The sequence below is a fragment of the Homo sapiens genome, chromosome 4 (assembly GCF_000001405.40).
Source record: "Homo sapiens chromosome 4, GRCh38.p14 Primary Assembly".
NCBI classification, from domain to species: Eukaryota; Metazoa; Chordata; class Mammalia; order Primates; family Hominidae; genus Homo; species Homo sapiens.
In genome coordinates this window covers 118,515,982-118,543,578 of record NC_000004.12, presented here as the reverse complement: position 1 = coordinate 118,543,578, position 27,597 = coordinate 118,515,982, and the positions used below count along the sequence as shown (strand labels likewise).

The 27,597-nt window shown below is 36.4% G+C and overlaps 1 pseudogene across 1 annotated transcript in view, besides 4 other annotated features; it reads right to left on the bottom strand.

Annotated features, from left to right (window-relative positions):
* The window catches only part of CEP170P1 (centrosomal protein 170 pseudogene 1), a 37,880-nt pseudogene extending 10,626 nt beyond the window's left edge, over positions 1–27,254 (bottom strand). The window contains exons 1-4 of the transcript NR_003135.3: positions 27,194–27,254; positions 20,134–20,260; positions 5,622–5,718; positions 3,190–3,360 (exon numbers count right to left, since the gene is read on the bottom strand). The product of NR_003135.3 is annotated as a centrosomal protein 170 pseudogene 1 (transcript). The remainder of the gene's footprint in view (positions 1–3,189; positions 3,361–5,621; positions 5,719–20,133; positions 20,261–27,193) is intronic.
* Positions 9,499–9,999: an enhancer, noted in NCBI's record as "H3K27ac hESC enhancer chr4:119454735-119455235 (GRCh37/hg19 assembly coordinates)". NCBI's record gives its function as "activates a minimal SCP1, AML or CMV promoter by ChIP-STARR-seq in primed H9 embryonic stem cells {active_cell/tissue: H9 hESC(primed)}" and the evidence as "EXISTENCE:reporter gene assay evidence [ECO:0000049][PMID:30033119]".
* Positions 10,000–10,500: an enhancer, noted in NCBI's record as "H3K27ac hESC enhancer chr4:119454234-119454734 (GRCh37/hg19 assembly coordinates)". NCBI's record gives its function as "activates a minimal SCP1, AML or CMV promoter by ChIP-STARR-seq in primed H9 embryonic stem cells {active_cell/tissue: H9 hESC(primed)}" and the evidence as "EXISTENCE:reporter gene assay evidence [ECO:0000049][PMID:30033119]".
* Positions 11,742–12,241: an enhancer, noted in NCBI's record as "H3K4me1 hESC enhancer chr4:119452493-119452992 (GRCh37/hg19 assembly coordinates)". NCBI's record gives its function as "activates a minimal SCP1, AML or CMV promoter by ChIP-STARR-seq in primed H9 embryonic stem cells {active_cell/tissue: H9 hESC(primed)}" and the evidence as "EXISTENCE:reporter gene assay evidence [ECO:0000049][PMID:30033119]".
* Positions 27,174–27,295: a silencer, noted in NCBI's record as "fragment chr4:119437439-119437560 (GRCh37/hg19 assembly coordinates)". NCBI's record gives its function as "represses an EF-1alpha promoter that drives an FKBP-Casp9 reporter gene in an ReSE screen in phorbol 12-myristate 13-acetate-treated (for megakaryocytic differentiation) K562 erythroleukemia cells {active_cell/tissue: K562(+PMA)}" and the evidence as "EXISTENCE:reporter gene assay evidence [ECO:0000049][PMID:32094911]".

Sequence of the window (27,597 nt, the reverse complement as noted above, 5' to 3'; positions counted from 1 at the left end):
ATGCATGGGCAAAACCAGGGGTCACCAACCTCTGTAAAGAGCCAGAGGGTGAAGGTTTTAGTATTTGAGGGACATAGGGTCTCTGCCACAATTCCTCAACTCTGCCTTTGCAGAGTGAAAGCAGCCATAAATAATGAGCAAATTATGCATGTGGACATAGCCGTGTTGTAACAAAACTTTTACAAAACAAGTGACAGGTTGGATTTGGCCTATGGGCTGAAGTTTGCCAAGCCCTAGGCCAAATCATGAAAGGCAAAGCTAATGAAGCATGGTAGAAAAAGGACAAAACTTGAGTCTAGCCGTGGGTTTCAAAATGAACTCCTTATATTGTCAGTACTATATCCAGAGCCTGAAAGAAAACAGAAAATAAGGCCCTAGAAGGCAAAAAGGTTTAAAGACCACTGGGAGAGGTGACGGTAATATACAGGGAATACGATTACATATTTTATCATTAAGCCTAAGGCCTACAAAACAAGAGACGTTCATATAAATTTTGGGATTCAGTGCTGTAAGAATTCTAATGAGGCCGGGCGCAGTGGCTCACGCCTGTAATCCCAGCACTTTGGGAGGCTGGGGTGGGTGGATCACGAGGTCAGGAGATCGAGACCATCCTGGCCAACATGGTGAAACCCCATCTCTACTAAAAATACAAAAATTAGCGGGGTGTGCTGGTGTGTGCCTGTAGTCCCAGCTACTCGGGAGGCTAAGGCAGGGGAATTGCTTGAACCTGGGAGGCAGAGGTTGCAGTGGGCGGAGATAGCACCACTGCCCTCCAGCCTGGTGACAAAGCGAGACTCCCTCTCAAAAAAAAAAAAAAAAAAGAAAAAAGAATTCTAATGAAAGAGAGTTCATTGATGAGTGGCATAAATAAGGAAGTGATCATGGAAAAACATGAACTAACTTCAGAATGACAAGGATTTGAATTTAGTGGGTAACAAAAGTTTATTTAGGTTGTGAAAAATAACATTGTCAAGGAAAGGATAAATAAGCAAAATGGTTTTTGTGGGCCTTAAGAAAACAATCAAATAAGGATGGAAGACATATACAAATTAGGAAGGCATGAGAAAGGGCAGGAGAGTCTAAGGAAACATTGCAACACAGAATAGGATATTTCTCTTTTCTTTGCTCATGAAGTTTAGTTTGTTGTCACAAAGTATTAAATAAATTCCTGATCTCAACCTTGAGATAACTATCAATCTAGATGTTTCCATTCTCTTTAAAAACATACACTTCTTCCACATAGTTTTATTATGTTTGGAGAAATTTGTCTTCCTAGACATCGGGACAGAATGATTATGAGTAAGTTTAGAGAATAGGCTCTTTTCCTGATACCAAGAACAAATCAACTATTAGGCCAGGACAGATCAAGTATGCTGTAAAACGTTTTAGTATACTTCAGTTGTAACTTTCGGGCTAGTTGCATACTTTTCTACCAGGTAGATCTTTTTCTACTCAGTACCATGAGAAACATACATATTCTTACATAATAATCTCAAGATCTTATTCCTAAATCCAGGGATCCACAAATATTAATCTATGATCAATCTCTTCTGGTCAACTGTTTCTTTCTACATTATTCCTCTACCCAGCCCTTAAGCCTATACCACCTCTGTGTGTTGTTCATAAATCACCTCTTTCCACAGTAGTATTTGAAATAACCATTCTTTTATGAAGAAACTCCTTTATATCTTTGAGTTTTTTATTACTCTATTATTGTTCAATTTGGGAATATACCAGTTTATACATTCACTTTTCAGCTGATGTAAACAGTTTCCAAGTTTTTGATACTGTCAACAATGTTACTATAAATGTAACTTCTACTGTCAATGGGAAAGGGTTTTTCTTGTACATATACTAGCAAGAAAATTGCCAGATCATGTGATGTCTTTATTTTCAACTTTAGGAGATAGTGTCAAACTGTTTTCCAGAGCCGCAGCACCAACTTAACCTCCACCAACCACACATAAGAAAGCCTATGTATCTACCTTTCCTCCAATACTTAACATTTTAAGACTTTAACGTGTCAACAATTGAATGATTATAATCTCACCGTAGTCTTGACATGCATTTCTCTGAATGCTCGTTAAGTTAAACTTCTCTTTATGTTTTGTAGGCCTTAAGTATTTTCTTTTTCTTTTTTTTTTTTGGAGACAGAGTCTCACTCTGTCACCCAGGCTGGAGTGCAGTGGTGTGGGTTCAGCTCACTGCAACCTCTGCCTCCCGGGTTCACGTGATTCTCCTGCCTCAGCCTTCTGAGTAGCTGGGATTACAGGCACATGCCACCACGCCTGGCTAATTTTCTTATTTGTAGTAGAGACAGAGTTTCACCATGTTGGCCAGGCTGGTCTGAAACTCCTGACCTCAGGTGATCTGCCCGCCTCAGTATTTTCTCTTTGGTGAAATGTTGTTCATGTCTTTGCAGATTTTTCTATTGTGTTTTTTAATTGATTGGAGGGAGTTCTTTATATATACTGTATACTAATCCTTCATAGGCTGTATGTTTTGCAAAAGTTTGTAACTTGTATTTCTACCTTCTTTATTTTTTAATAAAGAAAAAGTCCTTAATTTTAATATACTCAAATGTCTCAATTTTCTAAGGCCAAAAGTTTGTGTTTAAGAAATCACTCCCTAGTACAATATTGAAAGATATTTGTCTGTATTTTTTAAGTAAAAGTTTTACAGTTTTTCATGCATTATTTAAGAACTAAATTCATTTAGAGAATGAATTTAAGAACTAAATTCATATTCATGAACTTAAATGAGAAAAAGCAATTACAATATTATTTTCACTAACCTCTAAGTGACATAATTATTTGTATATGATGTGATGTCATGGTGAAATTTCATTGCATTTATTAAGGAGAATCACTTTCTTCCCAGCCCTACTTACTGAATGGTTCCTCCTTTTCTCACTTACGGAACATGCTTCATGTTCTAAATTCATTTGGAGAATGAATTTAAGAACTAAATTCATATTCATGAACTTAAATGAGAAAAAACAATTACAGTATTATTTTCGCTAACCTCTAAGTGACATAATTATTTGTATATGATGTGATGTCATGGTGAAATTTCATTGCATTCATTAAGGAGAATCACTTTTTCCCCAGCCCTACTCACTGAACGGTTCCTCCTTTTCTTACGGAACATGCTGCTTCTGCCGCATGTTAAAATTTATAGTTTACTTACTTCATCCCTGCTCCAGGTTCTCCGCCTTGTAATTGTTAAGTGATCGGGAGGCTCTGCTGCTTGAGGTCTTGGATCACCAGATCGACCGTTGTTTCCTTCTGGTGTTTTGGAATGAACTAATGGAGGAATCTTTTGGAAGTTGAGGCTTTCATCAAAAACACGATCAACCAACTAATGGGACGAAAGCAAACCTTTATGAGAACACAGTAATTTGAAAAAGAAAAAGTACCAATATTGGCATTACAATTTTTATAATTAGACAGAAGTTATTCCATTCTCAAGTAGTAACAGAGGCATAACATCTTCAATAAACCAATTACTCTTTCTTTTTATAAGCACTTCAAATGTATTTCCTTTATAAAATCGAGATTCATCTACATAGGTTTTATTTCAAAATCCAAAATATATAACTATGTTAAATTCAATTCTTCCATGGATAAGATTTTCTCCAAATGGAAAACAGATGGTAAACAGAAAAAAAGCTGAGCCATGTAGATGGACAATGAGTTCATTTTACTCACATTGCCTTACCAGTGTAAAATAATGTTTCTTTTTCTTTTAGTTTCCTATCTTGTTTTTTCCTCCCCAAATCCAGGTGTCAAATTTCTTCACAAGATACATAAATGGCAAATTCCAATTAAGTTTACAAAAGGAAAATATTTTTTAATCCACAAAATAAATATTTTGATCTTAGTCAAATAAACTTTTAACAATGCTATAGAAGTTACACATTCTAATAGAAATGATATACTGCCATCTACAGTGCAAATCACAGACATACAATACTAAGTAACGGGTTTACTGAAGAGGGAATCAACCTAGTACAATATTCTGAAATAAAACAAAAAGAAAATGAAGTTTATTCAATGAAATGTTTAAGTAATTTTACTGGGTCTGAGTGAATGTATAACCATGTTAGGTAAAATTTAGTTAGAAAGCTGAGAAAATAATATCTTCATCATTTTAAATGTACTAGAAGAATTGTGTATGTCTTGCCACCAGGACGATCCTTAAGGTTTTCATCAATAAGGATGATTTCATTTACAGTTACATTTGATCAATGTGGTAACAAAACTCTACACAGATTGATGAAGTATCATTTATTAAGTTAAACAACACACTGAAGGAAAACAAACAAAAAAGTGACCATTAAAGAATCAGATTAAAGAATGTGACAGAAAGCAAATGAAGAAAATATTATTAGCACAGTTTACCACAATTAAATTTGTCAAAAAGGCTAGCCATTTTTGCCTACTATTTAGGATTATCTTGTAAAATTGAAGAAGCAGAATAATCAATACCAGGGGCTGGCAAACTTTTATTTATAAAGAGACAGATAATAAAACCTCAGGCTTTGCAGCCATACAATCTCTGTCTCAACTACTCAGTTCTGCCCCTGTAGCAAAGAAACAGCCATAGATGATAGTTAAACAAATAAGTGTGGCTGTGTTCTAATAAAACTTTATTTATGAATACCAAAATTTGAATTTCATGTAATTTTCATGTTGCGAATTAGTATTCTTTAGATGTTTTTTCCTGCCATTCAAAAATGTAAAAACCATTCCTAGTTCTTTGGTCTGTATTAAAACTGGCAGCAAGGCCAGTTTGCCAACCTCCAAACACAGAAGTTCATTCTTTTAAATGCCAATCCTTTGCTTATATTTCTGCCCCAAATCAAAGCAGCCAACATGGCCAAAGAGTACCATTAATTTTGTATTATATGTTAAAGGCGCTGTCTGGAGCAATGTTATGCAAATGGTGCTTCCTGGAGTTATACTGTAAGAGGCCCTGATATTGGATGGGTAATAGTCTATACATGGTAACTTGCATTCCAGACTTTATAAAAATGTTCTGAATATGTATTTGTATGTGTGTATATTACATATATATTTCAATTTTTCAAAATATCTTTATGTGTATGTGTTTGTATTTATCAACAGAATTATTAAAGCAGTGAAACTGTAGGATTTTTCTCTTTGTTATCAGAGTATCTTCTAGTTAACTAGCGATAAAAATACTTTTAATTGGAGCATTTTCATAGTCAAACTTTATAGAAACTTTATACCATCATTTATCAAATTTTGGGTTGCTTTTCAAAATACCATTTATATTCATGTTTCAAGTGAAGCTACGGACCAAGAATTAGCAGGCAAAATGCTGTTTCTAAAGAATTTTCCAGCTTCGTGTTAATAGTAGACCAAATGTTAGCCTTCACTAGTTTTGTTACAAAAACATAAACTGTTAAAGCAAAGTTGGAAAATGCAGAGCTTCATGCAAACAGGGAGGGTGGACATAACTAAAATAAACTAAGCAAAAAGCTAAAAGCAAAAGAAATAAAGAAAAGAAAGAACCTTATGCATTTCTCCATGAAGATCTCCTACCTCTTCTCTAGTGTCTATGGCAGAGCCAGGGGTGGTGGCAGCAGTGCTTACTGTGGTACTAGGGGCAGTGCCTGATGAAGTCACTGAATCTATCTCTCCTGCTACATCGTTGATCTCCCGAGCAATGAGAGCAAGATCTTGGCTGATCCTGGTAATAATTTTAGAAAAGAAGTTTAATCCCTTTTAAATAAACAGCTCTAGAAACAATCATTTATGAGATAATCAGTCATGTAAGTTGTATATCTAATTAAATATTTGTACCCCAAATTAACTATTAACTATTTTGATAATCAGTCTTAAACCTTAATTCCAAAATTAAGATTAATGAAACTAAACTCCAAATAACCTACAAGATATCACCTTGACAAATATACTTTAAATGCCCTTGAGTAGAGCTATGCCCTTAACACACACTGTGTTAATGACTAGCATTAATACATCACAGGGGTTCTTAAACTTGGGGAATAATGGATAGAATTCAAGGAGTTCATGAACTTAAATGAGAAAAAACAATTACAATGTATTCACTAACCTCTAAGTGACGCTTAGCATTTCTTTCAATTATAAATACAGGCACAAACCACAGTGGTATTAGCAATACTGGTGATTTTTGTCATCAACAGAGATCACATTACAGTTGCTACGGGTATATTTAAACATCATTTATGGTCATCACTGCTTCAAAACTACTGAAGTCATTAAACACACAATAATAACATTTTATTTAATGTTAATAAAGAACCATAAATTACTCTTACTTTCAAATATTTTGATAACTGAATTTCAATATAATTGGATTTCTTTGTAATTCTTTTGTTTACACCTGAGAAGGGCCCTACAAGCTTCACAAAATGGCCAAAGGGGTCTACAGTACCAAGAAATTAAGAACCCTGCACTCTTTCGTAGAGCACTTTACACTATGCACAGCACTTTCTAGTACATGTTATGTCACTTGAGGCCCACAAAGTTCTTTTGAGGTAGGATTTATCTGAGTTTATCACAATCTCAGAGAACCTGAATGGCTTGCTCATGATCACACCTTTAGATGTAGCTAAGGCAGGACTGGATCCAAGCTTTAGTACTCATTTCCATAAAGCCATTTGCATTTTTACCTACATGGACTGAAGAACTAAATAACTGTTACCTGTGATAATCAAAGGTGAAAATAGAGATTTTTCTTTTAGAGTTTTTTTTTTAAGAGGGAGAAACTTACAAAACCTACCACTGATATTCTTGTTTTTTGAGAAACATTTCATTTCAATAAGACATTAACGTTTTCCAAGCTGCATCCACTGCCCATAAACTCAATGTGGCTATTTCCACAGGGAAGGTTTTGGAATGACAGAATATTATTAAAAGTATATATGAAAGTTTCTGCAACTTCAAAATCCAAAGGAAATACAAAGTAACTTAAAAAGAAAAAAAAAAAAAGAGCCTAGGAGGTCTGGTTATATTGCCCAGGCTGGTCTCGAACTCCTGAGTTCAAGCAGTCCTCCGACCTCAGCCTCCCAAATAGCTAAGATTACAGACACATGCCTGGCTTAAAGTAACATTTTTTAACTTATGCAAAATGTGAGTTTGAAAGACTTTCAAGCACATTAGTAATTACATAAAAATTTAGATTTAAAAAGGGAACTAAGTTGAAGTTTATGGACCAACAGAACCAATTTATGGTCAATATATAAACTTTGTAAGAAACGTCAGTTAATTCCTCATTTATTTATCAACACAAAGAGGCAGGAAAAACACCAACAAATATTTACTGATTGCTTATGATGTGCCAGGCACTGGGCTAAGTCCTAAAGACTACAGCAATGAAGAAGCAGACAGGGTCCTTGTCCCCATGAAGCTTAGAATACACAGAAGGCACCATTATAATATGATGAGTACATTATAAAGCAGCTTCTTAGTCCTCAACTCATTTAATTCCCACAACCACTCTGTAAGAGAAGTATTAATCATCTTGTTCTACAGATGAGGAAAATGAGGCACAGGAGAAGACATGCGACCATTTTTTATTTATTTATTTATTTATTTATTTATTTATTTATTTATTTTTTATTGATCATTCTTGGGTGTTTCTCACAGAGGGGGATTTGGCAGGGTCATAGGACAATAGTGGAGGGAAGGTCAGCAGATAAACAAGTGAACAAAGGTCTCTGGTTTTCCTAGGCAGAGGACCCTGCGGCCTTCCGCAGTGTTTGTGTCCCTGGGTACTTGAGATTAGGGTGTGGTGACGACTCTTAACGAGCATGCTGCCTTCAAGCATCTGTTTAACAAAGCACATCTTGCACCGCCCTTAATCCATTTAACCCTGAGTGGACACAGCACATGTTTCAGAGAGCACAGGGTTGGGGGTAAGGTCACAGATCAACAGGATCCCAAGGCAGAAGAATTTTTCTTAGTACAGAACAAAATGAAAAGTCTCCCATGTCTACTTCTTTCTACACAGACACGGCAACCATCCGATTTCTCAATCTTTTCCCCACCTTTCCCCCCTTTCTATTCCACAAAGCCGCGATTGTCTTCCTGGCCCGTTCTCAATGAGCTGTTGGGCACACCTCCCAGACAGGGTGGTGGCCGGGCAGAGGGGCTCCTCACTTCCCAGTAGGGGCGGCCGGGCAGAGGCGCCCCTCACCTCCCGGACGGGGCGGCTGGCCAGGCGGGGGGCTGACCCCCCCACCTCCCTCCCGGACGGGGCGGCTGGACATGCGACCATTTTTTTGGCCAAGGTCACACATAGTTGTGCCATAACTAGATCTTTTCACTATGTCATGCTACATCTCACATGATTGCTCCATATATAATTTTTTAAAACATATTAACTGTTGATGTGATTCTTTTGAAAATGTGTTTAAAGTGTTCCCTTAGATAATATAGCAAATCCTTGCAATTCCCCAAAATAAATGAGCTAGAATAAGAAACAGAATAACCAAGCTTAATGAGATAAAATACAGATAAGCATCATTGTATCCAAAACTCTATTTTTCATTAAGGATTTTTTATGCAGACGATCTGTACAATGAAGTTTCTAATATTTCTGGAAAACAGTATAAATTAATTAGAAAAAACATGGACAACAGCAATCTCCACATGTGATATAGTAAAATATGTATTAAAATGAGCAATTCTTAACGTATATACAACATATATTGTTGATTTGAAAACCTAATAGATATTTTCACATTTAATTCCATTTTATTACAAAATATGGATAAGAAAATAGCGCTGAAGGAACAAAACAGAAGCTAAGGGTTCAGTTCTCTGACACTAGTCCTAGTCTTTATGTTTTCCCAAGTGTCAGAACCATTGACTCAATTTCAACAATTCTGTAGAAATAAGTATGCATTATTTAAGAAAAAACGGTGAGATAACATGAGAAATGTACTTTAAGTCATAAAGTTTATAATTTTCCTATGTAAATTATCTCAGTCATAACACTTTTTTTTCACTGAAGGGTTGTATACTGGAAAAAATAATTGTACATTTGGGTATATTGGAAGATTAAAGGATATATTAAAAATTAGAGTTCTAGTGATGTGTATACCCAATTAAATACACAATCTTTGCAAGATTATATATTATTACAACTATAGTAGAAACAAACTATCAGACTTCATTGATTTAAACTGCCAACAAAACATTGCTTTAAATGAGCTATTTAAAAATTTGCCTTATTATTATTTTTTGAGGTGGACTCTCACTCTGTTGCCAGGTTGGAGTGCAGTGGTGCAATCTCAGCTCACTGCAACCTCTGCCTCCTGGATTCAAGTGATTCTCCTGCCTCAGACTACCGAGTAGCCAGGATTACAGGCGTGCACCACCACGCCCGGCTAATTTTGGTATTTTTAGTAGCAATGAGGTTTCACCATGTTGGCCAGGATGGTCTCAATCTCTTGACCTTGTGATCCGCCCGCCTTGGTCTCCCAAAGAGCTGGGATTACAGGCGTGAGCCACTACGCCCAGCCAAAAATTTGCCCTATTTTTTAATAGCACAATTCATTTTCAAACGTTTTTACATGTAAAACTTTCCAGAGGATACACACATGAACCTCTGGAATTAAGTTTCCTTTGATATTACTGGAAAAAAGCAACGGTGGTGGGCTATTAATGAAGTATACTAGCTTTAGAATCCTAAAACCAAAGTTTATGACCGCAAGTCAAACATTTAACATTGGCTAAGAGATCATAACTGTAATGACTCAGCTTTCAAGAAATAATTTAGTGTAGTTTGTAAATGACCAGAAGTGTTAAAATGTAAAATGAGTTTAAGGAGAGACGTTTAAGGGTCATTCCAGAAAAGCTCATGGTTTCCACACTATCTAGAAGAGTTTAGTAAGCAAAAAAAGTTTTGTAAGAGGAAAGAGGGGATATCAAATGAAAGGTACTCAGGAAAACTGGAAAAAGAAAATATAAGGAAAAAAAGTCTAATGTCAATTATTCTAAGTGAAGTAATTCAGGAATGGAAAGTCAAACACCACACGTTCTCACTTGTAAGTGGGAGCTAAGCTGTGAGGATGCAAAGGTGTAAGAATGATATGAATTAGCTTTTAATCCTTGTATAAATTATGAACTCGTTTGGAACACAGGCTCTGTGTTTTAGGTTTATTTGCCTCCCCAATGGTGACAAATATGGTCAGCGATTCATAAAAAAGTATGATTTATAATAGGATGCACCAGGGAGACTTTTAATCTGAACAGAGGTCACGGTAATGAGATTCGGGAAGAAGAACGCAGAAGAGATTAGCGACCCCTCTCCTTCCCAATTCCTTCTAATGGTATAAAAGCCAGTCAGCCAAATAATGAAGAGCCACATTATTTTTAAAGAGTCAAGGATCTTGTATCAGGCCCCAAAATTGCAAAGGCAGGTATAAAGTAAAAATCCATAAGCATGTGGCTAAAAAATTTTTTTATTTCCATAGGTAAAAACAAATTTCGTTTAAGTATTTGGTTTAGCTTGTATTTGTCCTTCTAAGTGATTACTCACTCATGCTCTCCCCTGCACCTCAAATAGAACAAGTATAGTGGTTTAAGGTTTACAAGGCATGGGAAGAAAAAAAAAAAAACCCCAAGATATTAGCAAATTAACTTCACTTCATTTAAAATTCTCATTGCTTATACAATGTAGGAAAAAGTACACTTGTAAGAGACCCTATACTAGCACACAGAGGGAGTAAGAAGTCAAGTTAAAAAGTACACGAATGCAGGCACCAACTGGACTTATATAACAGGACATATAAGGTTTTTACTTTGTGCATGAGCAAAAAGTTCTGGATGTTCCCTAACCAGTAAAGACCAATTGTGAATCCCCCCTAACCAGTAAAGACCAATTGTGAATCCCCTATCTAGAGGCACTCCAGATGGAATGCTCAGTATCATTGGCTACGAAGCATGAATGCTTAGCAAGGTCAAATACATACTTGGAAATGCTATCTCCAAATAAAAGACAGTATTCTTATTACTACACTGCCTACAAATAAAAATACAGTATTTTTATTAGTATATAAAAAAGTACCCAGATGTGGCTTGAATGTGATAAGGCTATAATTTTAAAAAATGTACATGCCTTGTAAGTACTTGTAACTACATTTTCCCCTGAAGCCTTTTCCTGGTTTTGGCCCATTATTCAAGATTATTTTTCTCAGCTGTTAAAAGCAATGAACATAACCACATTTATGCTATTCTGCCACTTAACTAGATATCTTCTTTCTTTTTTATTAGACAGCACATAATTTTAATACAGCCTTTGGCTTGTTGTGAAGCCACATCTCTGTTCTTCTTGACATGCCTTTCATACAGATGTGTTACCACTGTAAACAGCTCAAGCAGATCTTAAGAAATTCACTTAAGGTTTCCTAGAAATGTGATTCACATGAGTTCTGTATCTTAAACCATGACTTTCAAAATGAGGTAAAATATTGTATAATGAAATCAACATATGCAGGTGTGAATATAAACAAGCAATACTGACTTCCATATATGGATCCTTGAAATGTTTCATTACTGGATGATTGTATCTTATACAGTGAATAATGCTATTATGATAAAACAGAAATACAATCTCTCACATCCTAATTTTTTTCCCAAAAAAAATAACTGTAGCTAGGTAAAAATGGGGCTAAGACAAGGAATTTCTACGTAAAAATTTTTAGAGTTTGACTTAAAAATTTTCAATTTGGAATCTTAAGCATTTAAACTATTCAGGGCCTACTGATAATGAGCTAGGTATCTTTTAAAAAACAAAAGAGGCTGGGCACAGTAGCTCACGCCTGTAATCTCAGCACTTTGGGAGGCTGAGGTAGGTGGATCACTTGAGGTCAGGAGTTCAAGAATAGTCTGGCCAACGTGGTGAAACCCTGTCTCTACTTTTACAAAAAATTAGCCAGGCATGGTGGCATGCGCCTGTAGTCCCAGCTACTCGGGAGGCTGAGGCAGGAGAATCCTTTGAACTTGGGAGGTGGAGGTTGCAGTGAGCCGAGATCATGCCACTATACTCCAGCCTGGGCAACAGAATGTGAGACTCTGTCTCAAAAAAAAAAAAAAAATCCAACAAAACAACAACAACAAAAAACAAAGGAGATATAGACAAATTTGGGAAGACTCCAGGCATCATTTATTCAACAAAGTTTATTTGGTATCAGTATCAGCTGGGCGCGGTGGCTCATGCCTGTAATCCTAGCACTTTGGGAGGCCGAGGTGGGCGGATCACCCGAGCTCAGGAGTTTGAGACCAGCCTGGCCAACATGGTGAAACCCCATCTCTACTAAAAATACAAAAAAAATTAGCAAGGCGTGGTGGTGTACACCCATAATCCCAGCTACTCAGGACGCTGAGGCACAAGAATTGCTTGAACCTGGGAGGCAGAGGTTGCAGTGAGCTGAGATCGCACCACTACACTTCAGCCTGGGTGACAGAGTGAGACTCTGTCTCAAAATAAAATAACATAATTTAAAAAATTTATTTAGTATTTACAAAGCAATAGTTATGAATGATTCCATGATCTCACAGTACAATAAAGAATAAAAAGTCCAGGCAAGAGGCTTAAAGTTTAATTCATGTATTGATTGACTCATATATTTGACTTACATACCAACTATAAAGAAGGTTCACAAAAAAAAGTTTCCTAATGATAAGGAAAGATCTTTCTCTTCCATCAGTGGAAACTGTCAGTTAATTTGTTAGATGTTAGTGGCATTTTGATTCAATAATAGAAGACCTTAATGAAAAAAATTTGGCAAACCCCATTCTTTATGCAACAAAAGTATGGAGAACTGGGAAAGAGTTACACTGAGCCACAAAAGATTTAGGATGGGATAATAATGAGTTGAAATTGGAGGTTTCTTTTGGGCAGCAACAGCAATTTAATGAGTGGCCTGATTAGAAAAGCAGTTTGAATAAAGTACATGGAGTCTACTTCTAGCCATCAAAAGAGATCGAGATTTAATTTTTTTAAAGGCACCTCCCATTATTGGGAATGAAATGTTTATCGCTACAGATAAGTTACATTTGGTAAAATGTAGAAAGATTCTAGTCTCGAAACTAGACTTATGAATATGCTTCAAATAAGCAGAGGAAGTCACAAATAAAGATGTAATTAAGAGGATAACTTTAAAGGTTTTAGCAAGCCCATGCTATCTCCACCAGAGACAAAATCGGCAAGTTAAAAGATGGTCTGATGTCATCTGACAGCAAAGTATTTACTCAATAAACAAGACCTGAGATAGCCAGAGTATTTTTAGAGACTTAGGTACAGACTATGAGGAAGGAATAATGAAGTTCTAGGAAATGTGGAAAACTACAGAGAAACTGAAGAATCACTGTCATCTGAACCTGTGGGCAGGTGGTTTATTTCCCTACTCTTGCTGTTTGGATCTGACCTAGCCCAACAAAATAACAGGGCCTAGACTTGAGATATTATCAATCCACAAATGATGTCTTCAAACTGACTTGGCAGATATGCCTTATTCCTTGATTAGGGTAGTTTTTATATCCATAATATTTTCTCCAAAACAAAAAACATTTTGGTATTATCAAAGCTCACCTCCAATCACAACCCAAAATGTAGTATATCCTTCAATTATGTTGTAATTGAAGACTTGTTAGCTAAATTGCAATACACAGAAAAGCATTATATTACCTTACAGAAAATAAGAAAACCCACACCATTGAATTCTGACAACTAAATTAAATTGGTTCCTACCAACAAAACAATAAAAGCACAAAGCTTTTAATAATGTAGTAAAATTACAAGTAATTTGGTTTTTTACTGTTAAGATTATCACTCATTCATAACTTTAACTGTACATATTTTAGGCTTTGAAAAACATAAACCACAGTTCTATTTTAAAATGTTTTCAAATATATTTGATCAGTATTCTTTTTACTTGAATTTCACTAATAAAATTATGTGTAAAAGACTTAGTAATAATAAAAGCTTTTTGTCTTACAATGCCAAGTGAGTTTCATTTGGGGCCAACAAATCAGGGAATGGGACTGATAGGTGTTCCGTGATACATCTATTTTTTAGACAGAATCTCGCTCTGTCACCCTGGCTGGAGTGCAGTGGCGCGATCTCGGCTCACTGCAACCTCCGCTTCCCGAGTTTCAACGATTCTCCTGCCTCAGCCATCCGAGTAGCTGGGATTACAGGTGCCTGCCATCACACCCGGCTAATTTTTGTATTTTTAGTAGAGACGGGGTTTCACCATGTTGCCCAGGCTGGTCTCCAACTCCTGACCTCAGGTGATCCGCCTGCCTTGGCCTCCCAAGTGCTGGGATTACAGGCGTGAGCCACCCCGCCCAGCTGACACGGCTATTTAACGATCACTTTAATATTAAAAAAACAAACTACTTATATACCACTGTTTTTACTAGGAGGACAAAACATTTTTTAATAAATAAGTTTGGATGGAAATTTGAACAAAGCATTGGCTGGGATTCTTAAGCACAAATGAGGTAAGCCCAGAATTTTATAAACTGTAGAATGTAATGCTGATTCTGAAATTCCAATTATATCTGGATTCTCATAAATTTAAACGTGTGAGATCTACACAAAATTAAAAGCTCCAAATAAAGTTCTAACTATAATCATAAACCACTGTTTTCTCTGTATCCCTCTTAAATATAACATTTATTGACTACTGACTATATGTCAAGCACTAGGTTAAGTATGTGCATCAACTTGTCAACTCTCTCAGGTTGGCACCATTACGTCCATTTTACAGATGAGATCACTAGAACACATTTAATTAACTCATCCTAGGTCACACAGACCTTGTGGTCGAGTTGGGTTTGAATCTCAGACCAAGAATATGGTCTGAGTCCAGAGTCCATATTCTTCACCATTCAGCTACACCACATCCCTGTCACTGAGGTTATCTCAGAGTTCAGCCGCATTTGCAGCTCCCTCACCATTCCCTGGTGATACCATCTACTACAATAGCTCCAAGTATTTACTCTTTACGAATGACTCTACAACGATGAGTCTAGCCCTCACGGCTTACTGTTTCACAGCCGCAGTTCAACTGTCTGCTAGCTTTTTTCACAGGGCTATCCTTTAGGCATGTTGGTGTCATTATGACCAAAATACAACCTATCTTCTTTTCCCATGCCTTTTGTGTTCCCTACTCCCACCAATCTCCCATCTGATCAACCATGGAACCATTTTAAATTCTGTCTTACTATTCTGGCAATCATCAAAAGCTAGGCCTCTTGTGCCATACAGCCAAGTTGTGAATGCAAAGGAAAAGTTCTTGAAGTAAATTAAAAGTGCTACTCTAGTGAACACAGGAATGATAAGAAAGCAAAACAGCCTAATGCTGATATGGACAAGGTCTGAGTGGTCTGGATAGAAGATCAAACCAGCCACAACATTCCCTTAAGCCAAACTAATCCAGAGCAAAATCTGAACTCTCTTCAATTCTGTGAATGCTGACAGAGGTGAGGAAACTGCAGAAGAAAAGTTTGCAGAGGTTGGTCCATGAGACTTAAGGAACGAAACCATCCCCCTAACATGAAAGTGCACAGAGAAGCAGCAAGTGCTGATATAGAAGCTGTAGCAAGTTATCCAGAAGATCTAGCTAAGATAATTGATTAAGGTGGTTATAAGAACAACTGATTTTCAATGTTGATAAAACAGCCTTTTATTGGAAGAAGATGCCATCTAGGACTTTCACAGCCAGAGAGAAGGCAATGCCCAGCTTCAAAGCTTCAAAGGACAGGCTGACTCTCTTGTTAGGGGTTAATGTAGCTGGTGACTTTATGTTGGAAGCCAATGCTCATTTTCCATTCCAAAAGTCATAGGGCCCTTAAGAATTATGCTAAATCTACTCTGCTTGTGCTCTACAAATGGAACAATAAAGCCTGGATTATGGCATATTTACAGTGTGGTTTACTAAATATTTTAAGACCACTGTAGAGACGTACTGCTCAGAAAAACATGATTATTTGCAAAATATTACTGCTCATGGACAATGTACCTGGTTACCTAAGAGCTCTGATGGAGATGTACACGGTGATTAATGTTGCTTTCATACCTGCTAACATCCATTCTGCAGCCCATGGATCAAGGAGCCATTTTGACTTTTTTTTTTTTTGAGACGGAGTCTTGCTCTGTCGCCCAGGCTGGAGTGCAGTGACGCCATCTCGGGTCACTGCAAGCTCCGCCTCCTGGGTTCACGCCATTCTCTTGCCTCAGCCTCCAGAGCAGCTGAGACTACAGGCGCCCGCCACCACGCCCAGCTAATTTTTTGTATTTTTAGTAGAGATGGGGTTTCACCATGTTAGCCAAGATCGTCTCAATCTCCTGACCTCGTGATCCACCCGCCTCAACCTCCCAAAGTGCTGGGATTCCAGACGTGAGCCACTGCGCCCAGCCATTTTTTTTTTTTTTTTTTTTTTGAGATAGAGTCTTGCTCTGTCGCCCAGGCTGGAGTGCAGTGGCACAATCTCGGCTCACTGCAACCTCTGCCTCCCGGATTCAAACAATTCTCCTGCCTCAGCCTCCCGAGTAGCTGGGACTACAGGCACGTACCACCATGCCCAGCTAATTTTTTCTATTTCTAGTAGAGACGGGGTTTCACCGTGTTAGCCAGGATGGTCTCTATCTCCTGACCTCGTGATCTGCCTGCCTCGGCCTCCCAAAGTGCTGGGATTACAGGCGTGAGCCACCGTGCCTGGCCCATTTTGTCTTCTAAGCAGAAAATGTATTCCTTTATTTAAGAAATACATTTTGCAAGACATAGCTGTCATAGGTAATGATTCCTCTAATAGATCTGGACAAAGTAAACTGAAAATCTTTTGGAAAGGATTCACCATTCTACATGCCATTAAGGACATCTGTGATTCATGGAGGAGGTAAAAATATCAAGATTAACAGGAGTTTGGAAGAAACTGATTCCAACCCTCATGGATGACTTTGAGGGTTCAAGACTTCAGTGGAGGAAGTCACTGCAGATATGGTGGAAACAGAAACAGAACTAGAAAGACTAGAGTTAGAAGTGGAGCCTGAATATGGGACTGGATTGCTGCAATCTCGTGGTAAAACATTAACAGATGAGAAGTTGCTTCTTATGGATGGGAAAAGAAAGTGGTATCTTGCAATAGAATCTACTGGTGAAGCTGTTGTGAGCACTGTTGAGATGACAACAAAGGATTCAGAATATTACATAAACTCAGTCGATAAGCCAGCGGCAGGGTCTGGGAGGACTGACTGCAGTTTTGAAAGAAGTTCTACTCTGGGTAAAATGCTATCAAACAGCATCACATTGCTACAAGGAAATCTTCCATGAAAGGAAGAGTCAATCAACGTGGCAGACTTCACTGTTGTCTTCTTTTAATTAAGAAATCGCCACAGTCATCCCAGCCTTCAGCAACCACTGCCCTTGAATAAGTCCGCAGTCATCAGCAGGGATGTAAGACCCTATGCCAACAAAAAGCTGATGACTTACTGAAGGCTCAGATGATCACTACTGTTTTTTAGCAATAAAATGTTTACTTGTTTAGGTATATACTTTTTTTAAGAAGCAGTGTTACTGCATACAGTATAGTGTGAACATAATTTTTACATGCACTAGGAAAAAAAAATTGTGTGACTTGCTTTGAGATATTTGCCTTACTATAGCGGTCTGAAACCAAACCTGTACTATCTTAGAGGTGTTACTGTAGATAATCTTCCAGTATAATTTTTAGGTTGAATGTATTTCATTTGGTCATCTGTAAAGCTGGTATTGTAGCTCTGTTTACCCTAATATTCATAAAAACCTGCATCATGTCTTACATTCCTACTCGATGGAAGTCAATATCTGTTTTCATAACAGAGAAACTGAGGCAGGAGCTACGAAAGCATATGCATCAGGGATACCTGAAAGAAACCTTCCCTCATCAAACTGAAGGCCAAATATGCCATATCTCGCTTATACACTTCATATTCTAAATGGAGCTTGCTTTTGTGCTTTAAATTTAAATGCAGGTAAACAGTTACTATGTACAGATTAACAAAGTGCTGATCAAGTGAAATAGTCCTAAATTCTAAACAGAAAGAGTATGCTAAAGCATAAAACATTTTTGTAATAAATTAAAAATCACTATTATATTTTTCAAATAAAAGTGTCTTTACTCTTCAAATATTGCTCTCAGCACAGGAGTCTTTTAGGTGACAGTAGTTCATTTAAATAAATAAAATTATTTCTCATATTCTACTTAGTTTGTGATTCATAGCCATTTGAAAATACATTTTCTCACCCTAAGCAAACTTATCACTGCTCTATAGAAACATTAAATATCCACATTTCCTTCCATATTTTGTGTCTTTCCTTCCTTCCACCACCCTCCTTTTTTCTCCACATAAAACAAACAAAAAAAACACTTCTCTGGCTTTGAGATATATAGCTGGAAAGTATAACTTGAAAAATTAAAATCCCAAAGGCAAGTTTTATTAGCATAGTGCTACTGACAAACTGGAGGGATAAGGCATGAACATCACTGTAGGTTAAATAGCCTGTTCTTAAAGTCCTGCCATAGATAATAAAACGTACACATTGATAATAGTAACACTATGCACATAGCAAAATGGAACCAAGTGAAAATACAGTGTATAGCCCTTATTCCCTCTTCTCTTTGTATTACAACTGTTTTTTTATTTGTGGGTAGGGAAGTGTATTTGGCTCAGAAGAAGGTTTTTAGTCTTTCTAGTTTGGGGTAGAGGGAGCTTGAGAGAGGAGGCCTCCTGCCAGGAGGCATCTAGACATACAGGCACCACTGGATCTTGTGTAGCTGGACACCTTTTTCAAGGGAAGGGGAAAAATGATGAGACAAGAGTAAGACCTGTTGTTGCTAGCAGCGCCTGGAAGTACAAAAAATGTGTCAAGATGCTCTCACTACAAGCATTTTGTTGGCCCATTATGATCCATGGATCCCAAAGCACATATATGCCTTTCCTCTAACTAGAACAACTGGCTTAAAATGCTTCAGTAATTACTCTCCTAAAAAGCTATTTGTATGATAAAGCAAAAATGTTTTAAGCAGCACAATGAGATTAGAAAGGCATGTTCTCTCCAAGAATAAAAGCAATGACAAGTGAATAATCTTTAAAAATAAAAAACTAAACATTACATCAAACCAATGAGCCAGAAAAAACACAATTCACAGAAGTCAATGAAATAAAGAACAAAAAAGGTGAACATTAACATAGAGTAAAAGTTTCTTGTTTTTTAAAAGCATCTATGAAATATTATGTATAAACTCTTTAATAATGTCCTCAAGTATACAACTTGAAGATTAAGGTCTTAAAGACAGAAGTAAGCTTAGTATGTATACAGTGAAAATGTTTAGGTAACATATGGTATACTGCAGTAAAATCTAACATCTCACAAACTTTAAACAAAAAATCCTTATATTTTAACTACTAAAATATCTGCTTGAGTATAATCTCTCTTCAAAGTTCAGCCATAGTAAGTTATTAATTTCCATAAGTTATTAATTAAAAATCATATCTGCAGCATAAATTTTTTTTGTACATAATCTAAAGGTTACTATAAACAGATTTAATCTTCAAAATAGTCATATTTTGTTTTACTTACTAAAGGGTTGAACTGCCCATACTTAATGAGTTCATAAAGTATGAGTGAAAATCTGCTTACCCTAATTCTCTCCAGAGAGCAGTAGCCACATCTCTAACAGGTATACTATTACATCTTTGGAAGTTTAAAGGGAAGTAATCCATAAATTGCCTGCAGTTCTTAATTATGTAGATCTGATACTGCCTACCTTTCAAAGTTACACTTACTTATCACCATCTTTAAAAGAAATTCTTAAAAAGGGAGGAGGGGGGAGAGAGAAAAGGTCAAAATAAATTAATTCTACAATATGTTAGTGGTACAGGCATAGAAAAAAAAGAAAAAAAGCTGAATAGAGAGTAATACTACTGACTAAACGGAGTTCACAGTTATCTGTGGATTTCAGTTCTTAGACTATTAGTAAAAATCAAGTACAAGCTAAACTTTGTTACCAAGTTGTAATGTTCATAGAAATTTTCAATTCTTAAAGATAAGTCCTGAAAACCAACCTGGCTATCTCTTCTCGATGAGCAGTCCAATCTCGGATGTAGTCTTCCTGCTCTTTAATCCGGTGTTTGAATGAAGAACTAGTAGGCATTGCTGATCCAGCGCTCTGCAAGCGAGTGGTTTTCAGGGCTGGAGAAGTACATAGACGGGTATGTTTAGGGGAATTATGGTCTGATCCAAATTCATCTTCTGAGGTGGAAGCATAACCAGTAGGAAAGCGCCTCCATCTTGAATTTACTAAATTAGTTTAATTATTAAAAAAAATTATTATGTTATCATTTAAAGGAGGTAAAATAAAAGTCATGACTTCAAAACACCATGAGAGCGCACACACAGCACAATTTTCAATAACTGACGTACACATACCTCACAAAAACCATAAGTCTACTACTCTTTAGAGATAGAAACATTACACTTCGGTGAATTAAAAACAATGAAGAATCAAAAACAATCGAAAGACCATGTTTTCCATAGTGTGGTGAGTAAACATTCAGATGAAAAATTTCACTAATCATAAACGACTAAGCAAGTTCTATCCATCGATGTTTAACTGGAGTACTTTTCAATTGCAAATATTTCTTATTTGAGTGAAAATATGAATTTTTCAAAAAAAAAGTAACAACATCAACGACAACAAAAATAAAAACAAGGGAAAAGATTTCCTCATGCCACATGGACTTTCAACATGGAGATGGTAAAAACTCTCTTTTCCCAACATACAGATGTGCATAATTCTGGCTGTGGAAATTACGCCTTTATGGCAGAAAAAAAAACATTACCTCTGTCATTCAACATCCTGTTACGCTATGGTTGGAAAAAATCTTTTTACGTGGTAAAAAAACACAACAAAGCATCTTCAGTACAACTCTCTGCTGCTTTGACACTGAAAGCATATGGTGAAAATAGACAATGGCATAAAATCTACAAAAAGCAAAACTGTACAAGCTTTTGTCACAACCATTGACATTGAAGGCACAGGAGATACTGTGAAGAGTCACATTAAAGAAAGTGGCAATCACTTTCTTATTTACAGTTAGTAAAGACATTAAAAAAATGGTATTGCTCACACATTTAAAAAATCAGAAGACAAGGCAGACACTTTACTACTGTTAATATGAGAATCAAACATGCAAATAATTTGTGAAGCATAAATAGAGGTAAAAAAGAAAGATAATGGCTAATTCCTGGTAAACTGAACAAGGGCAGGAACCATGTCTGTTTAATCCAATAATGTATACCTAGCACTTAGCTGAGTGTTGGCTAGCAAATGTTTAACAAATATTTTTGAAAAAAATGTAAGAATTCCCGGATGTAAACATTTACTTTTCCGAAACCTAGTGAAAAGCATTAAATGTTATTGGTGTTTAAAGTGATAAAACCTTAGCATCTTCTTCCTTTTTAATAGAAACTGACCCTAAGCTGCACAGAATCCAGAAATTCCTCCACTCTAATTTTATGCCTTTTATGTCTTTTCCTCCAAAAACTACATTTTCATCTGGGGATCTCTAAGGCTGAGGTTGCTCTCAGATAAAACTGGCATATATTGCCACCAGAACTGGCTTAAGAAACAGAGAACTCTACAATGAGGAATATGCCATAAATTAGAGCCTATCGATTCGTCCTTATTCACACCCCTATTTGCAGATCCTGATGTTTGGAACTAGATTCATTCATAGGTATGACAGAATGAACATATGCAGAAAGTTCATGGCTCTCTGTAAAAGTGTATGCAAATGCATATACTAGGTAATTAGTCATAGACCTTTTTTGAGGAGCTTAAATATAATTTCTGATTTTAACACTGTAAGATAATTTATTAACATAGATAATACTTTTACCATGGTGATAATGTACTCATTTCTAGATATAAAAACTTCCGTGAGTTGAAGTGATCCTGAGACTTGAAACCAATTTTGGGAAAAGTTTAGAACAAGAGTAAAGAGGTTTAGAAAAAACTTAAGAAATACAGCAGGCAAAATAAGAAATAGTGTAAACAAATTTGTACTTTTCAAAAAAACATTTCATTAAATGCTAAATGTGTGTTTATTGTGCTATCTTACAATAGTGTTCATAAATAAGAAAAAAATCATTTGTTATATCAAATGTCCTGATTTTTGATTAGGCAACTATGGTCACTATACATATGATTGGAAACTAGAGAGAAAAGAAAAGCAATTAACAAAGAGCTTTAATAACTGCAGAACATATGAAAATGTAAGTATGATAAAACTAAGACAGTTAATTTTGAGGTAACTTAGAAAGAATGGCATCGATGGCTGATATATTTCGTGGCAGACTACATGAAAGCAGAATGAGAAATTGAGTACCAAGTGCTATTAATATACGTTAAATGTCAGGTGATCACATGTAAGTAGAGCCATGCTAGAATCAACTTTTAATAGTCTGAGCTTAGGATCAAAATGCAATTACACTTTGAGGAAAAAAGTACGAGAAAAACTTCCTTTTCACAAACTTTCCATCTCTTTTCATAGGCTGGTCTACCTAGAAGTCAGTAAGCATAGTAAAGCTACTAATAATATATTTTAAAAGCAATCAGGGGCCAGGCGCAGTGGCTAACTAACGCCTGTAATCCCAGCACTTTGGGAGGCTGAGGTGGGCGGATCACAAGGTCAAGAGATCGGGACCCTCCTGGCCAACATGGTGAAACCCCACTCTACTAAAAATACAAAAATTAGCCAGGCGTGGTAGTGCGCGCCTGTAATCCCAGCTACTCGGGAGGCTAAGGCAGGAGAATCACGTGAACCCTGGAGTCGGAGGGTGCAGTGAGCTGAGATCGCACCACTGCACTGTGGCCTGGTGACAGAGCCAGACTCCGTCTCAAAAACAAAAATAAAACAAAAAGAAAAAAAATCAAACGAATACAGCATATTTTAAAAAGTAAAAGGTAACATCTTTAGGTACGCTCTTTAAAATTGAGGAGGAAACTGGATAATCAGCATACAGCAGAGAAATAAAAATGTGATTAAAAATCATTAAGTAATTAAGAGCTCCCTTTGCCAGTGGAAAACATATCACACATGGGATGCTATGAAGAAAAGCTCCAGTTAACTCTGGACACAGTCTGTGTAACGACAAAGAGCAGAGCTGAGACTGAGTGAAATGATGGCTACTGGTGGAGAAGGGACTGGGAAAGGGAGTTCAATGCTAGGCCCTCTAACCTGTTATTTCTCAAAGAATTTATTTCAAAACTTTTTGCTTTCTTAACATTTGCTTCCAAACTGTAGCAGCTACCTAACCTTTTTTTTCTAAAGAAAATTCCCTATCACCTGCTAATTAACACCAAATAAACTTCAAGTTAAAATATTTTAAATTTTCCCCCATCTACTTATTTCATAAAATTTTAGAAGAATGGCCTTTGACATGAGTCTAAATTCTTCCATTTAAAGAGAAGAAACAGGCCCAGAGAGGTCTTACCTTGCTAAAATCAAAGTATAAGCCAGGTCTATGGACTCCCAGAGTTCAAAACGAATTCTCTGATATTCCAAGTGTTGTATACATTCTACATTTTTGTTTCCAGTAAGGTTTTTTTTGTGTGTGTGTGTGTGTTTCTTTTTTGAGATGGAGTCTCCCTCTGTCACCCAGGCTGGAGGGCAATGGCGCCATCTTGGCTCACTGCAACCTCCACCTCCCAGGTTCAAGCAATTCTCCTGCCTCAGCCTCCAGAGTAGCTGGAATTACAGGCACCTGCCACCATGTCTGGCTAATTTTTGTATTTTTAGTAGAGATGGAGTTTCACCATGTTGGCCAGGCTGATCTCGAACTCCTGACCTCAGGTAAACCATCTGCCTCAGCCTCCCAAAGTCCTAGGATTATAGGCATGAGCTGCCGTGCCCGGCCAAGTTGTTTTAAAAAGACATCCTAAATTTCTCAAGTAATGATAGTTTTTCTGATTTCTACCTGTGTTGAAGAAAAATTTTATTTCTTTCTCTTGAATTTTATTCAGCTTAAGTAACAGTTTATAAAAATAAATTTGATTTTCTTAATATATTATTAGGCTCATTTGATGGGTTGATATTACTAAGGCATTTGAAGGTGTTTGAAATGCCTATCTCTAAGAGACTTATTCGTTAGTAAAGGCCTAGACAGCATATATATTAAAATGAAAGTTCCAAGATGGGCTTGATTAAGCTTGTAGCTAGAGCTACAGCATTCATTACAAAATTTATTTTTTAATTATAAAATAGGCAACATTCCCTCTTGTGTTGTAGTACTAAACTACTATATTCACTACAAAAATATACTATCATTTATGATGTCTAGAGACTTAAAAAGGAAAAAAAGAGTTGTTAGTATCATATTTCTGTGAATGTTCCAATTTCTTTGTTGGCATTAAAACATACAACTATAGATTTTGCAAACACGCTTCAGAAAACACACATTGCATCTTCATACAATATCAGAATATTTTAGTGGAAAATTACCACAAACATGTTTTGAATGTATATTTATGAGCATTCAGCAATAAGATCAGTTGGGGAGAAAAACTGCTGACAATGCTCTGTTTTGTCCTTTGACCTGGAGAAAGAGTTAATTCAAGCCATGCATGTCTAACATTTAATTTCTACTGCCTATAAATTTTGAAGATTAGAATTAAAAAGGGACTGCAAACAGTCCAAAAAAATTCTAAGGATATTAACATAATGTTTTTATTTTCTAAAACGTGCACTTAAAACATAATGAAAACCAAGTGCTTTATTTTGATAATTCAAGGTCTTTAAATTTAAATATATCTTGCCAAAATAAATCTGGATATTTCAGTTACAACTTGATATCAAGAATCACTGAAGGAGACTGGGCGCAGTGGCTCATGCCTGTAATGCCAGCACTCTGGGAGGCTGACACGGGAGGACAGACCAGCCTGCCCAATATGGTGAAGCCTCTCCTCTACTAAAAATACAAAAATTAGGCGGGCATGGTGGCACACACCTGTAATCCCAGCTACTTGGGAGGCTGAGGCAGGAGAATCACTTGAATCCAGGAGGCAGAGGTTGCAGTAAGCCGAGATTGTGCCATTACACTCCAGCCTGGGCAACAAGAGCAAGATTCCGACTCAAAAAAAAAAAAAAAAAAAAAGAAGCATTGAAAGAATGTTTTGGGGAAAAAAAACTAGTTAAACTCCTAGAAGCAAATTGCAAATTACATCAGAGAAACATACAGAACTCTTCTCTTCATATTGCTAAATCTGAGATTTCCAATCTTCTATTTTTATCACATACATTTCTTTAAAAAAAACTTTTTTTTAATGGAGACAGGGTCTCACTTGTCCGAGGCTAGAATGCAGTAGTGTGATCACAGCTCACTGCACCTTGAACTCCTGGGCTCAAGTAATCCTCCAACTTTGGCCTCCCCTAAAATACTGGGATTACAGGCATGAAACACTGTGCTGGCCTAAAAATATTTTAGAGACATCATCTAAAATATGGAATTGGAAACATTATGGAATTATTTTTACATATCCAATTGGGACAATATCACAAGTGCTAGGTTCAGATTATTTCCAAGGTCTTTAAAGTTTATACTGTGCACAGCAACACTGATCGGCATGATTTAACATTCTTTTAAATCATGTTTCAAAAGTTAAAATTTTTCTTTTCTTTTTCCATTCAAAATATTATAATTATCTTAAACAGAAATATTATAATATCAAAGGCACCTAAATTAGCAAAATCAAACAGGTAGGTTTGTTTGTTTGTTTGTTTGACCACCTTTTCCATACAGCTATTATAGTATGTTCTCACTGAAGGAAAGATCCTGGCCACTGTCCTAGAGAAGATCTAATACTATAAGTGGGTATCTTGAGAGAATCTGAATATACAATCCTAGATTACAATGTGGCTTTACACTCATAAGGTGGAATAGAGAATATAAACTGGGTAAAACATCAGAACTGCAAAGATTTTAGTAAACAATACCAAAACCTTTATATTGTATATTGACCTTGCATATACTCCTGATAATAATCCAGTAGATTCTAGCTGTCTTCTGGAAGCTTGCATACAAGTAAACACTGAAACTATTTCTTAGAGCTAGAATAGATACGGTAGAAAAACAACAGGCTGGGGATTAAAAGTCTTTGATTCTTATTCTGCCCCTGCCACTGCCATGTGCCCAGGGCAGGTTATTTCCTCTCTTGGCCTTGGTTCCCTTAAGGGAATAATCCTTCTAACTTTTAAATTCCATGATTCTAATTATTTAATATACTGCTAGTAAGTACGAAAAGACTAAAATCATATACATCAATGTGTCCTAGGGAATTTCATACACAATTCAAGGTTATTTTTGGACACAGAAAACTGAATATTTATCAAGTTCTGTATTCAAAGAAGCAGAAAATGAAATCTGTCTTTATATATAGCATCTTACAGTTGTTTCTTAGACTTGCTGAAGTAATCATATTTAGCTTGCATCTCAAGCCTTATCCTAAATATCGAGGAATAAAACCACATCATGTGTTAAGAGGTACTCCAAGCTACCTGGTAACATAGAAATTATGTTAAGACAGGAAAATACATACATATCTTAATGGAGATGAGGTGATAAAACAAGGAGTACAGCAGAAGAAATTTCATCAGGAAATGCAGCACAGATGAAATGTGAATTGAAGAAGTATAGCCATAACCAAAAACAGAATGAAAATAAACCAAAATGTAGTAGTTAGTTTTAAAATATTTGGCAATAAATTTGTGAACCACCAACCAAAGCTTCAAGTGTGGAAATGAGGACTGGGGTAATAAGGAAAATGTTGTCTATTTTTTTTTGGAATCATGATTATATGTTATCTGGCTTCACCCTACGTCCATTTCTACCATAGACAGTGACCATCATTACCAAACCCACTGACCAGCAAAGAGATACAGGTGAATGGAGTGGAGGAAAGCAGCAGTGAAAAGAGGAAGAAAAGTGAAAAAAGTATCATATGCAAAGTACTGTTCCTTTAGGGTCTTGTAGGATATGGTGTGGTAGATGTAAACCAATCAAAAATAAAAAGATGAAATTTCATATCAATTCCCCTCCACTCTTAACTCAAGACTTAGGGCTTACTTAGATGTCTGCCTACTGAAAATAATCACACATCTTCAAGTCTGTTGTAACAGCTGGCCTCCCACACTGGCCTTTGCAGCCACGCCCACATATGAGGCTCATTATGAAGTAATGAGAACATGCATATAGGACACAAAGAAATATCCACCTCATCACTCTTTGGTCACACATGTATCTCAATGGCTTCAGCTCTGAATACAAAGCACATAAGCAAACAAATATAACAGCATCAGTTAAATTCTGGTGGAAAGTAAGTAGTTTTTGTAGTTATTATATTCAATTACACCTAATTACTAGAGTTAAATGATATAACAGCACTTTGTGATATAATGCTCATAACCAGTTAAATTTCTACAGCCCAGTTTGGCCAATATATGCTGAGTGATTCCCCATGAATCCATCTT